Source organism: Homo sapiens, chromosome 12 (assembly GCF_000001405.40).
Source record: "Homo sapiens chromosome 12, GRCh38.p14 Primary Assembly".
NCBI lineage: Eukaryota > Metazoa > Chordata > Mammalia > Primates > Hominidae > Homo > Homo sapiens.
The window spans coordinates 132,668,993-132,681,726 of record NC_000012.12 but is presented as its reverse complement, the minus strand read 5'-3'; the positions used below and the strand labels follow the sequence as shown (position 1 = coordinate 132,681,726).

Below are 12,734 nucleotides of genomic sequence, written 5' to 3'. Positions count from 1 at the left end.
CTAATTGTGTTTTTCCAATGAGTCCTTTTATCTTAATGAGCCTTTTTCCAAGCTCGGGGTTTTTCAGGAATATATATACCCTGTCATATCCGAAACACTTAACACTAGGTGGGATGAGGGTTGCAGAAGTAGGTGGCAGTCGGATCACAAGGTCAGGAGATCGAGACCATCCTGGCTAACACGGTGAAACCCCGTCTCTACTAAAAATACAAAAAATTAGCCAGGCGTGGTGGCTGTCGCCTGTGGTCCCAGCTACTCGGGAGGCTGAGGCAGGAGAATGGCGTGAACCCGGGAGGCGGAGCTTGCAGTGAGCCGAGATCACACCACTGCACTCCAGCCTAGGCGACAGAGCAAGACTCCGTCTCAAAAAAAAAGAAAAAAAAGAAAAAAAGAAGCAGCAGCAGGTGGCATTACAAATTAAGCACGGGGTTCCCTTCTTTCACTCAGGGATGATGGCGCCACTTCCTCAGTTTCGGCACTCAAGCGCCTGGAACGGAGTCAGTGGACGGATAAGATGGATTTGCGGTTTGGTTTTGAGCGGCTGAAGGAGCCTGGTGAGAAGACAGGCTGGCTCATTAACATGCATCCTGTAAGCACTAGGTCCTTCTCCCACCCAGGAATATGGCTGCAACCCTTCTGGTCATAGCGTGGTCCTTATCTAAAGAGTGGGGGACACATGAGGGAACTTTGAGTGAATCAGGTGGGAGATGTGAAGGTTCCCAGCTCTCCTTTCCTCTTTAACGTCATTGAGGGCCACAGAGAGGCCACTGTGAGAAGCCGGAGGTGATGGGCATCTCTTTTAGCCATCAGAATAAAGCTTTCAAGGATTATGAGGGAGAAATTGAGAGAGATCCCCATTTGGAGGCCGTTACAGTGTGGTTCTTGTGAATAAGGCTGGTAGTGTTAATGTAGGGGTGGAGTAAAGACCTAGATGAGAGGGTTTGTTTCTAAAGTGCTGAGTTTCCCGAAAGGTAGGAGGAAAGTTTCTCTAACTGTGTAGAGGATGGTCTTGTGTCTGTGTTGACTGATTCTCTTGTAGACCGAGATTTTAGATGAAGATAAGCGCTTAGGCAGTGCAGTGGATTACTACTTTATTCAAGATGACGGAAGCAGATTTAAGGTAAGCCCCTGACTGCGACAAGCTAAAACCCACTTTTATGGGTGTTCATGTAGCTCTGTGACTGTCAGGGAGGGCATGGGAGGCTTCCAGTGCACAGCAGCCCATAGCCCAGCAGAACTCGGGCCCCTGGAGGCCCCATCAGTCATCACGTAAGATGTCCTGAGAGAGGTCAGTTCAGGAAGACTCTGAATGGTGAGAAGTAGCGTGTCTTTCAGATTCTTGCCCCTGTGAAAAGTGCGCATTCTGACTTCCTGTATGCTACCAAGGTCAAGGCTACCCTGGCCCTAGGCTGTTCATGGGATATAGGAGCAAGCAATGTGTTTTCACTTTTCTCTCGCTTTCTTCTTTCTCATCACCCCTGGATGGGTTGGTGACTCTTAACAGGTGGCTTTGCCCTATAAACCGTATTTCTACATTGCGACCAGAAAGGTGAGTGTGTTTCATAGACTCAGGTCAGACGACCTGTGTGTCATTCTGTGGTGGGCTTTGCAACTGGGAAATAGGCAAGGAAGGAAATGTATTTTACCAATGGAAAGCCTTTTCATTCTGATCCTGATTAGGGTTGTGAGCGAGAAGTTTCATCTTTTCTCTCCAAGAAGTTTCAGGGCAAAATTGCAAAAGTGGAGACTGTCCCCAAAGAGGATCTGGACTTGGTGAGTATCACCCAGACTTTCCAGGGGTAAATGAGGCCAGAGTCTACATTGTTCCTGGCAGGTGGGATCGGAAGAGGTAGAAATTCAGGTCATCTGTTGGGTGATGGGGCGGTGTGGTGACCGTCTATAAAATTCCTTCCAAAGAGCTCTAGTGGTGTTAGTTGGTGCCACGTGCAGAGTTGGACAAGGTGCCTTGAAGTCGCCAACTCTTTGACTTGTGTGTTTACCTTTGAGTGTTTACCCTCTCACCCATAAAGTCCTATTTCTCTTGAACCAATGAGCGTGATCTCTTCGCATTATAGCCAAATCACTTGGTGGGTTTGAAGCGAAATTACATCAGGCTGTCCTTCCACACTGTGGAGGATCTTGTCAAAGTGAGGAAGGAGATCTCCCCTGCCGTGAAGAAGAACAGGGAGCAGGATCACGCCAGCGACGCGTACACAGCTCTGCTTTCCAGGTAAACTTTGGTCTTGTGAGCAAAGCATCAGCGGTTCAGAACGACAAGATGGATAGGAGACAGGAACACGTAGCAACAAAGTTACCTTAATGGCTGGCTCTGTTTGATACGGAAAACTTGAGCAATTAGGTAGAGATTTCTGTATGTTCTGTGTTAAATAAACAGTGGCTTCCCAGGTTATATTTTATGTGTTAGCTCTCTTTTCCAATGGAGGGGTGGGTTTATGGCTCTAAAATTGAGTGGTTGTAATAGTAAAGTCACCTTAGAGGGGAAAAGATCCCTCATCCTACTGCCCTAACACAATCCATCTATGAATTTCATTAAGTGCTGAGATTTACACAGCACATCTCCAGAGAACCTTGGGTATCGTCCACAGAAATTTAAGCCTAGAACACTAAACACTGTTCTTCAAGTATTTGAGCATCAACAATAATAGGATGCAAAGTAACCAGTTAGGAAGAGAAAATCTTGAGTAATGAAGTTTAGATGACTTCGGAAGAACCTACCTTACCCTCTGACAAAAGAGGATCAGTTTGGGATGCTGAACATTTCTACAGTCCCTACCCGGAGTCCGCCTTCCCTGGCAATGCCACAAGTTGCTTTTTGAAATATTGGAAGGTGTGATCAGAGACTGAGTCCTCAGAGACTTGAGCCATATCTGAGACTCGTCTGTCTTTTTCCCCCTGAATAGCCCGTTCAGTATTTGAGCTTATAGGCCAATAGTGGCCGCAATGGTGGGCCACTTCTTTAGACATGGCAGAGACCCATGCACAGGCTGTGTGAAGCCCAGGCCTGCTCTTCAGCCTGCATGAGGCAGCCTCCTGAGTATCAGGACCATGGTGGGATGGTCATGCCTGGCTCTCCTGACTGGCAGCACTTAATGTTTTCTTTCTTTTTTCTTCTATTTACTTATTTGTTTTGAGACAGGGTCTTGCTCTGTTGCCCAGGCTGGAGTGCAGTGGTGCAATCATAGCTCACTGTGGCCTCGAACTCCTGGGCTCAAGCGATCCTTTCACCTCAGCCTCCTGAGTAACTGGGATCACAGGTGTGTACCCCATGCCTGGCTAATTATTATTATTATTATTATTACTTTTGTAGAGATGAGTCTCCCTATGTTGCCCAGGCCTGTCTTGAACTCCTGGGCCGAAGCGATCCTCCTGCCTCCCAGAGTGCTGGGATTAGAGGCATAAGCCACCATGCTTGGCCCTCTTTTTTTTTTTCTAGTTGGGGTGTAACTCACATCATATAAAATGAATACATCTTACACTGAATTTTCTCCTGTCTGTAGAGTTATCATCCAAGCTATTCTTTATTTTTTTGAGATGGAGTCTCGCTCTGTTGCCCAGGCTGGAGTGCAGTGGCGCAATCTGGGTTCACTGCAACCTCCGCCTCCTGGGTTCAAGTGATTCTCCTGCCTCAGCCTCCCAGGTATCTGGGGTTACAGACATGCGCCACCACGCCTGGCTAATTTTTGTATTTTTAGTAGAGATGAGGTTTCGTCGTGTTGGCCAGGCTCGTCTCGAACTCCTGACCTCGGGTGATCCGCCTTCCTTGGCCTCCCAAAGTGCTGGGATTACAGGCGTGAGCTGCCACGCCTGGCCCAGTCCAAGCCATTCTTAAAGGAAGGACTGCCTTGGTCGTTGAAACCACATCAATTTACCTTTTGTGTTTCCTCGGTTTGAACTCTGGTCTCACCTCTTCCTACTGAGTTGGAACTCTGGTCTCACCTCCTCCAGACCCTGGCAGCTGAGTTAGTTGCTCTCTTGTTAATTCCTAGTGTTCTGCAGAGGGGCGGTGTCATTACTGATGAAGAGGAAACCTCTAAGAAGATAGCTGACCAGTTGGACAACATTGTGGACATGCGCGAGTACGATGTTCCCTACCACATCCGCCTCTCCATTGACCTGAAGATCCACGTGGTGAGTGGGGCAGGGTTGGGTCGCTGCTCACATGAATTTCCTAACAGCCAGGAGATGATCATTATGGGTGAATCCACAGAAGAATAGACTTTCCTGGATGTAGAACTCTAGTTAGCACACTGTGTGTTTTGCAGGCTCATTGGTACAATGTCAGATACCGAGGAAATGCTTTTCCGGTAGAAATCACCCGCCGAGATGACCTTGTTGAACGACCTGTAAGTTTTGCTTGTGTTACCTTCATCCTAAAATTTCCAGTTTTCTGGAGAGAATATTCTTCAGTGCTGGAGAGTGAATCTGACTCAAAGATATGTTTGCTGCTTTTCCCCCAAATACTTTATTAAAGGAAATATGGAGTTAGAATTTTTCATCAGTTTCTGACAGTATCATTTCCTTTTTTGTTGTATATCACTGTATGACATCAGTGTTTGAGCTAGGCAGGATTTGGACACTCGAGGGAAAGCTGGGACTTCCGTTTGGGTAGTTGATAGTGAAGGGACATGGTGAAAAATGGATTTGTAACTAGAAGGCCTTGGTTCAAACATGACTTTGTGGTGTTGGGAAAGTCTTTGTATTCAGTTTTCTCTTTTCCGAAATGAAGATATCATCTCTGTGCCACAGTTACCTTTCAGAGTTGTCATAACCACCAGAATGAGGTGATGTCTTTTGAAGAGTTTTTCTCCTAAAGTTCTGTGATTTTAGGCTTGTCCTGTGATCAGCTGCTCTCTTAGGTATGTCAGTTTTCATACCATAGGGAGTCGTGATACTCTTGATGTAGGTTGGTTAGTCTTAGGGTCCTTCTCCCAGCTCTAGAGCCTTTTGACTCTTTTAACAACCAGAGGGAGGTAGAGCAGGCTGGGGGTGGGTGTTCAGGGAGGCCTAATGGGGAGTTTAGAGCTTGGCTTTATGCTTATTTTGTCCCCACAGGACCCTGTGGTTTTGGCATTTGACATTGAGACGACCAAACTGCCCCTCAAGTTTCCTGATGCTGAGACAGACCAGATTATGATGATTTCCTACATGATCGATGGCCAGGTGAGCAGGTGGCTTCTGGGAAGTAAGCTCCTGGGATGGGGACCTTGTCTGGTCCCCATACTACAGCAGCATCTGCCCCACTGTTAGTATTTGTTGAGTGAATAATGAGTTAGTCCAGGAATGGGAGCAACCAAGCCGTTCCGACCTCCAGCTGTACCCTCCCCTTTCGAGTGGGAATCCACACACAGAGCGTCTCTTCTCAGGAAGCTTAAAGCACTTTCACATTGCTGTGGACTTCTTTGTAGTGAGAATCTCTAGGCAGAGTGTGTGGGCAGGGTGGGAACGCCATTTCTTGGCTTTGCAGCCTCTGACTTGTGCTGATTGCTAATGAACTTGGCTAGGGCTACCTCATCACCAACAGGGAGATTGTTTCAGAAGATATTGAAGATTTTGAGTTCACCCCCAAGCCAGAATATGAAGGCCCCTTTTGTGTCTTCAATGAACCCGATGAGGTAAGGAGGTATCACTTGGGAAACTACCCGGTATTGTGGGAAGAACGGACATGTGGATCTTTCCAAGGCCTCAGGCATTCCGTCAGATCAGAATTGCAGCTCCATGAGCTTTGTTCTCAGGGTATGACCGTCTTTTCTGCCAGAGACGGGCGGAGGGGCGGGGCAGGAATAAGGGCCAACATGAGGCTGCTGCTTCTGAACTTTGGGAGAGGAATTTGGAATAGCTTGAAGAAGAGAAAGAGCAGACCTCTGACTGCTGTGACTTGGGTTCAGGCTCATCTGATCCAAAGGTGGTTTGAACACGTCCAGGAGACCAAACCCACCATCATGGTCACCTACAACGGGGACTTTTTTGACTGGTGAGTCTGTGTCTTCTCTATGAGTAACTGGGCAGCATTTGAGAGGGAGGGCGTTGCGTGGTGCAGGGGCGCTTCCCATGTCGACTTAGGAGGTGGCTCCTGGGTTCACTCTGCACCTCCCGTGTCTGGGTTCCTCCCTGGGTCTGAGGGAGGAATGGAGAAAGGGGCATTAGAGCCTGACCTGCCCACTTGCTTGTCTGTCCTCTTTCCAACCCAGGCCATTTGTGGAGGCCCGGGCAGCAGTCCACGGTCTGAGCATGCAGCAGGAGATAGGCTTCCAGAAGGACAGCCAGGGGGAGTACAAGGCGCCCCAGTGCATCCACATGGACTGCCTCAGGTAGGGGCCACAGAGCAGCATGGCTCCTCACTGCTGTCCGTGAGCGAGATCTGAAGGCCTCTTGCAGACTGTGCTGTCACCACATCTCATGGGAGGAGGGTGGCCTCCGAGAGGCCGTTTCAGGTCACCCAAGAGTATGGCAGCTGCAACCCTGCCAGGGCCCGGGATGTGCTGTCTTTGACTGTTGACTGACAATTCATCAGTGACCAGGCACATTGAGCATCAGCCTCTGGGGTGGGGAAGCCGCTGGAAAGACGCACTCAGCTGACAGGTCCCAGACCTAGGACCTCATGGAGCTGCTCTGCCCAGGCAAGGTTGGGATGTGGCAGCCCGGCTGCCTCACAGGACAAGCCTCACGGGACAACCACAGATTCCATATGAGCTAGGGTGGGAGGCAGCTCAGAGCTTCGGAGAGTCACGGCGTTCGGGGGCTCTGACATGACTGGTTGGGAAGACAGGTGGATGTGGAAATGCCAACAGAAGGAGGCTGGAAGGGAAGGAAGGGAAGGGAGGGAGGAAAGGAGGGAAGGGAAGGAAGGGAAGGGAGGGAGGGAAGGAAGGGAAGGGAGGGAGGGAAGGAAGGGAATGGAGGGGCCTCCACGGCCTCTGTATTCTGCACAGTGCCACTGGGGTGCTTGCAGCCTGAATGCGTTTCTGTTTAGCTCTGATGCTCAGCACTTGGCTTGGAGAGGGAGGCCAGGAGGCTGGGGCCGGTTTAGCGTGTGACGGTGTGACAGTCCTGATCCAAGGCAGGGAGTGAGGGTTGTGAGGATTCAGGATCTGTCATGTGGGGCAGGGGGAGGCCCAGGGATGCTGGTTCTTAGGGAGGGGTTGGCACCTGGGGTTTTTGTGCCATCCGTGGAGACAGGGAATGGGTAGAGAAGGGGCTTGAGGCAGGAGGTGACCCTGCTACCGATATGCTAGCCTGGAAGCCCCACCCATATGGGGGCCCTGAAGACCACCATGAGGCTTGGTTTGGGCTCGCACTGTAGATTGGGACTCACTGGGTTGCGGGTGGGTCTTGGTGAAAGCTGGGGTAGTGGATGAACTGAAGGCAAGAGGTAAAGTGAGAGAAGAAGGCCACAGGGTGGAGGCTGCGGGGGGTGGAGACCGGACATGACCCCTGGACAGCTGCTCCAGGGAATGCGTCTGTAGGGAGGAGGTAGAGACAGGTTCCGGGTAGAGTGTGGGGGGCCTTCTTTTCTTAATTTTTATTTTTTATTTATTTTTTAAATTTTTATTCTTCTTGGCATCTGATCACATCTTGCCTTCTATTAAAGGAGGGTGGGCTTGAGTGTTTCCGTGCTGAAGGGACAGTGTGAGGAGAGAAGATCAGTGTGGTTGATAGAACTAGGCCCCAGGGGTGCAGACCTGAGGTCTGGGGAGAGGCCCAAGGAGGTGGGGCGCCCGTCGGAGAGGCCACAAACTCTGCTGAGGATGGGAGGAAGGCGAGGGCCGGAAGGACCAGTCCTGGTGCTTCCTTGTGTTGTGGATAGGTCTGTGAGATTAACTAGATCCTGATGAAGGGTTTTCACAAGGTGTCTACACCATGTGGGGCCTTGGTGTGAGGCTCCTGGGTGCCTGTTAGGAACTTGCATCTGTCTGTGTGGTGCCCAGTTTTGCCAGTTCTCAGGGGTTCCCGGGCTGCATGTTAGAATCATCCTGGCTTCTGTTCTCATTCTCCTTCCAGGTGGGTGAAGAGGGACAGTTACCTTCCTGTGGGCAGTCATAATCTCAAGGCGGCCGCCAAGGCCAAGCTAGGCTATGATCCCGTGGAGCTAGACCCGGAGGACATGTGCCGGATGGCCACGGAGCAGCCCCAGGCACGTAAGCCACATCCCGGCTGCCCCTGCTGCCGTGTGCACGCATCCAGATGGCCACGGAGCAGCCCCAGGCATGTGAGCCACATCCCGGCTCCCCCTGCTGCCGTGTGCACGCATGTATGCCAGCCCGCTCCACCCAGCAGGCTGTGTCTCCGGGACACACGTGTTTTGTCCTGTGCCGGTCTCCTTACTGTGTGTGCGGCAGGCTGGTCAGGCCAGGCTTTGCTTTCTGTGCTTCACACTTGACCCTGGGCTCTTGATTTTTGATGGCCCTGCTCTCTGGCGTTCTCTCCTCAGACTCTGGCCACGTATTCTGTGTCAGATGCTGTCGCCACTTACTACCTGTACATGAAGTACGTCCACCCATTCATCTTTGCTCTGTGCACCATTATTCCCATGGAGCCCGACGAGGTGAGCATTATCTGTCCTGTCGGCACCCTGGCCTCCTCAGCCCTTGCCCCATTCCAAATGCACTGGAGCTGAATGGAGGTGGATGTCCCAGGAGTGCTGGCACCAGAGGCGGCAGTAGAATTCTGGTGTGTGACGTCAGGGATGTCCTTTGGGAATTCTCTGGCCCTGGTGTGAGGAAGAAACCACAGGAGGCAGAATTTGCAGCCATTTACCACGAGGTTTTCTCTCCTTTCACACTGAAGTTCAGCTTAGGTTCCTGGACTTTGCCTGCAAGTCAGGGCCTTTGGTGTTGCTTTTGGCTGGAAGCCTTGGTTTCTCTTGCAGGTGCTGCGGAAGGGCTCTGGCACTCTGTGTGAGGCCTTGCTGATGGTGCAGGCCTTCCACGCCAACATCATCTTCCCCAACAAGCAAGAGCAGGAGTTCAATAAGCTGACGGACGACGGACACGTGCTGGACTCTGAGACCTACGTCGGGGGCCACGTGGAGGCCCTCGAGTCTGGGGTTTTCCGCAGCGATATCCCTTGCCGGTTTAGGATGGTGTGCTTCTTCCCTGGGATTCAGATTCTTCCCACTCTTGTGCTGTGGTAGGACCCAGAAGCTGCAGGGGCTGAAATAAAGCCCCTTCTCCCCATCCTGTCCCACGGCCCCTCACCGGGTGTGGCTTCTCTGGCCCAGCACCCCCCGGGGGCTTCTTTAGGGCAGTGCACTGCAGATTGTGCACATGAGTCCTTCCGGAGCTTTCTCGGGCACAACCTGCCACGTGCAGCCACAGCGTCAAACCTGAGGCAGGCTAGTGTGGGTGTGTTTCCCCTCTGACCCCGTCGTCTCACTGTTGTGCTAGAATCCTGCCGCCTTTGACTTCCTGCTGCAGCGGGTTGAGAAGACCTTGCGCCACGCCCTTGAGGAAGAGGAGAAAGTGCCTGTGGAGCAAGTCACCAACTTTGAAGAGGTAACCATCAGGGAGGCAGGAAGAGCCAGTCTGTGTTTGGCGCCTTCTTCACAGACCACGTCTTTCAGCAGCACGTTTATTGTGCACCTGCTGCGTGTGGTGCTGTGGACGGATGACACAGGGTCTCTGGTGGGACAGGGCAGTCATGGTTGTGACGTGTGATGCTGTCACAAGGTCGGAGGGCTTCATGAGAGGTGGGGTGTGAGCTGCTCCTGAAATGCAGTAACATGGAAGGTGGGTCCTGGTGGGATGTATCCCGTGTCCTGTTTTAAAGCATTAGGACTTTATTTTATAGGCACTGGGGAGCCATTGGAGGTTTTAAATTTTATTTACTTTTTGTTGTTGAGACTTAAAAATGACAGTAAATTCCTACAAATGACAGGATTAGTGACTGTAAAATCTGTTTACATAATGGTTAGAAAGCACACTTACAAAGTGTGTTATGTGACTGGAGAGGGAGACACCAGTTCTTCTCTGATCCCTGTTCCTCAGGACATGGCACATCTCAGGTCTTTTTTTTTTTTTTTTTTTTTTTTCCCTTTTTGAGATGGAGTCTCGCTGTTGTTGGCCTGGGCTGGAGTGCAATGGCATGAGTTTGGCTCACTGCAACCTCTGCCTCCCGGGTTCAAGCAATTCTCCTGCCTCAGGCTCCCCAGTAGCTGGGATTACAGGCATCCGCCACCACACCTGGCTAGTTTTTGTATTTTTAGTAGAGACAGGGTTTCACCATGTTGTCCAGTCTGATCTTGAACTCCTGACCTTGTGATCCGCCTGCCTTGGCCTCCCAAAGTGCTGGGATTACAGGTGTGAGGCACCGCGCCTGGCCTATCTCAGGTCTTTATGTCAGGCACTGTGCAGCACTACATCATGTTCAGTGAGGTTGCTGGTTTAGAGTTTTTAACAGTTTTCACATTGATGCCAAGAAACTTTTTTTTTTTTTTTTTTTTTTTTTGAGACGGAGTCTTGCTCTGTCACCCACACTGGAGTGCAATGGCATGATCTCGGCTTACTGCAACCTTTGCCTCCTGGGTTCAAGCGATTCTCCTGTCTCAGCCTCCTGAGTAGCTGGGATTACAGGTGCCCACCACCATGCCTGGCCAATTTTTGTATTTTTAGTAGAGATGAGGTTTCACCACGTTGGCCAGGCTGCTTTCGAACTCCTGACTGTAAGTGATCTGCCCACCTCAGCCTCCCAAAGTGCTGGGATTACAGGTGTGAGCCACTGTGCCTGCCCTCAAGAAACATCTTGTAATAGATTCACTAGTCAAAATTTAAACAAGAATATGTGTACACTCTTGGCAAGCTGTGAAGCACTGTTTGGCTATTGTCAGCCACATCCATTATTATACTTCAGGGAACTCTTATGAACCGATCAGGAAGAGAGCCTTGTCTGAATAACAAATAGGAGTTAAAGAATGTCGGCCATGGCCGGGCACGGTGGCTCACGCCTGTAATTCCAGCACTTTGGGAGGCCGAGGTGGATCACGAGGTCAGGAGATTGAGACCATCCTGGCTAACACGGTGAAACCCCGTCTCTACTAAAAAAATATAAAAAAATTAGCCGGGCGTGGTGGCGGGCACCTGTAGTCCCAGCTACTCGGGAGGCTGAGGCAGGAGAATAGCAAGAACCCGGGAGGCGGAGCTTGCAGTGAGCCGAGATCGCTCCACTACACTCCAGCCTGGGCAGCCTGGAATCCCAGCATTTTGGGAGGCTGAGGCGGGTGGATCACCTGAGGTCAGGAGTTTGAGACCAGCCTGGCCAACATGGAGAAACCCCGTCTCTACTAAAAATACAAAAAAAAATTACCCAGGCGTGGTGGCGAGACGTCTCAGAATCTGAGACAGAGTTTCACTCTTGTTGCCCAGGCTGGAGTGCAATGGCATGATCTCGGCTCACCACAACCTCTGCCTCCTGGGTTCAAGAGATTCTCCTGCCTCAGCCTCCTGAGTAGCTGGGATAACAGGCGCTTGCCACCACGCCTGGGTAATTTTTTTTTTGTATTTTTAGTAGAGACAGGGTTTCTCCATGTTGGCCAGGCTGGTCTCGAACTCCCGACCTCAGCTGATCTGCCCGCTTGGCCTCCCAAAGTGCTGGGATTACAGGCGTGAGCCACCGCGCCCGACCTAGAAGCAGATATTTAAAGTCTTTAAGAAACAGTGAGATGGGCAGGTAGAGTGAGGCTGGAGGTGTGGTAGATGTGAGGATGCCAGGCTCCCTGGTGAGTGAGGAAGAGAGCTCTGTAGATGTGAGGACGCCAGGCTCCCTGGTGAGTGAGGAAGGGAGCTCTGTAGATGACATTGTCCTGTTAGCGATTCCTAAGTCCTCGCAAGTGCCCTTGAAAGGGAAGCCCAGGATCGCCTTTGTGTCCCTGAAGGGTCACCTGTTGGGCGGAGGGTGGCTGGGGGGATGTCAGCAGGGGCTCACAGCCACGTGGGGCATGTCCAGGTGGTGTCCCCACCATGGAAACTTGGCCATTCACTTGTCCCAGCCCATCCTCCCCTTCTTGACTGGACAGCCTTTCAGAACACGCCGTTACTGGGCAGAGAAGGGTGCAGTGGAGGCTCTTCCCCGGCTGATTCGTTTATCTGTAATTCAAGTAGAAACAATAGGTGTTACTGTTGTGGTATTTCCTGTTCTATGGAATAGATGTTATTCCTTGTAATCACTTTTTTCTTAAAATTTTAGGTGTGTTTTCTATTTTTACTACTTTGGAGGGTTTTAAGGATTTTTCTTTTTCTTTTTTTTTTTCTGAAACAGGATCTGGCTCTGTTGCCCAGGCTGGAGTGCAGTGGTGCAATCTGGGCTCACTACAGCCTTGACCTCACGGGCTCAAGCGATTCTTCCACCCCAGCGTTCCGAGTAGCTGGGACTACAGGTGCCACCGCCACACACGGCTAATTTTTTATTTTTTATAGAGACGGGGGTCCCACTGTGTTGCTCAGGCTGGTCTCGAACTCCTGGGCTCAAGTGATCCTCTGGCCTCGGTCTCCGAAAGTGCTAGGATTACAAGCATGAACCACTGCACCTGGCCTAAGGATTTTTTTTAATACTAAGGAGAGTTTAGTGTTCAAGTAATTTTCTAATGACTCCACCAAATTTAATGTATTTCATAGAAATGATGGCAACCCTTCTTAACTTTTTTCTTCTGGCTAGTTTTTGCTCTATTTATATATTTTTCAGCTTTTTCCTCTCCTGAATGTCTAAAAGGGGTTGGTGAACTG

At 50.6% G+C, this 12,734-nt stretch overlaps 1 protein-coding gene across 6 annotated transcripts in view; it reads left to right on the top strand.

Annotated features, from left to right (window-relative positions):
• Positions 1-12,734, top strand: part of POLE (DNA polymerase epsilon, catalytic subunit) — a 63,581-nt gene that overhangs the window by 5,616 nt on the left and 45,231 nt on the right. For 5 of the 6 annotated variants that reach the window (XR_941395.3, NM_006231.4, XM_011534795.4 and 2 more), the window contains exons 2-16: positions 448-589; positions 1,040-1,120; positions 1,505-1,549; positions 1,681-1,773; positions 2,076-2,230; positions 4,008-4,149; positions 4,284-4,364; positions 5,074-5,181; positions 5,523-5,633; positions 5,907-5,992; positions 6,210-6,329; positions 8,020-8,152; positions 8,450-8,563; positions 8,888-9,100; positions 9,405-9,512. Coding sequence is in view for 5 of the 6 variants with exons in the window: in NM_006231.4 (NP_006222.2) it covers positions 448-589; positions 1,040-1,120; positions 1,505-1,549; positions 1,681-1,773; positions 2,076-2,230; positions 4,008-4,149; positions 4,284-4,364; positions 5,074-5,181; positions 5,523-5,633; positions 5,907-5,992; positions 6,210-6,329; positions 8,020-8,152; positions 8,450-8,563; positions 8,888-9,100; positions 9,405-9,512 (1,732 nt within the window). In the remaining variant the exon portion in view is untranslated. Of the gene's footprint in view, positions 1-447; positions 590-1,039; positions 1,121-1,504; positions 1,550-1,680; positions 1,774-2,075; positions 2,231-4,007; positions 4,150-4,283; positions 4,365-5,073; positions 5,182-5,522; positions 5,634-5,906; positions 5,993-6,209; positions 6,330-8,019; positions 8,153-8,449; positions 8,564-8,887; positions 9,101-9,404; positions 9,513-12,734 lie in introns of those variants that run through there. The other variant, XM_011534797.4, reaches the window with a different exon arrangement.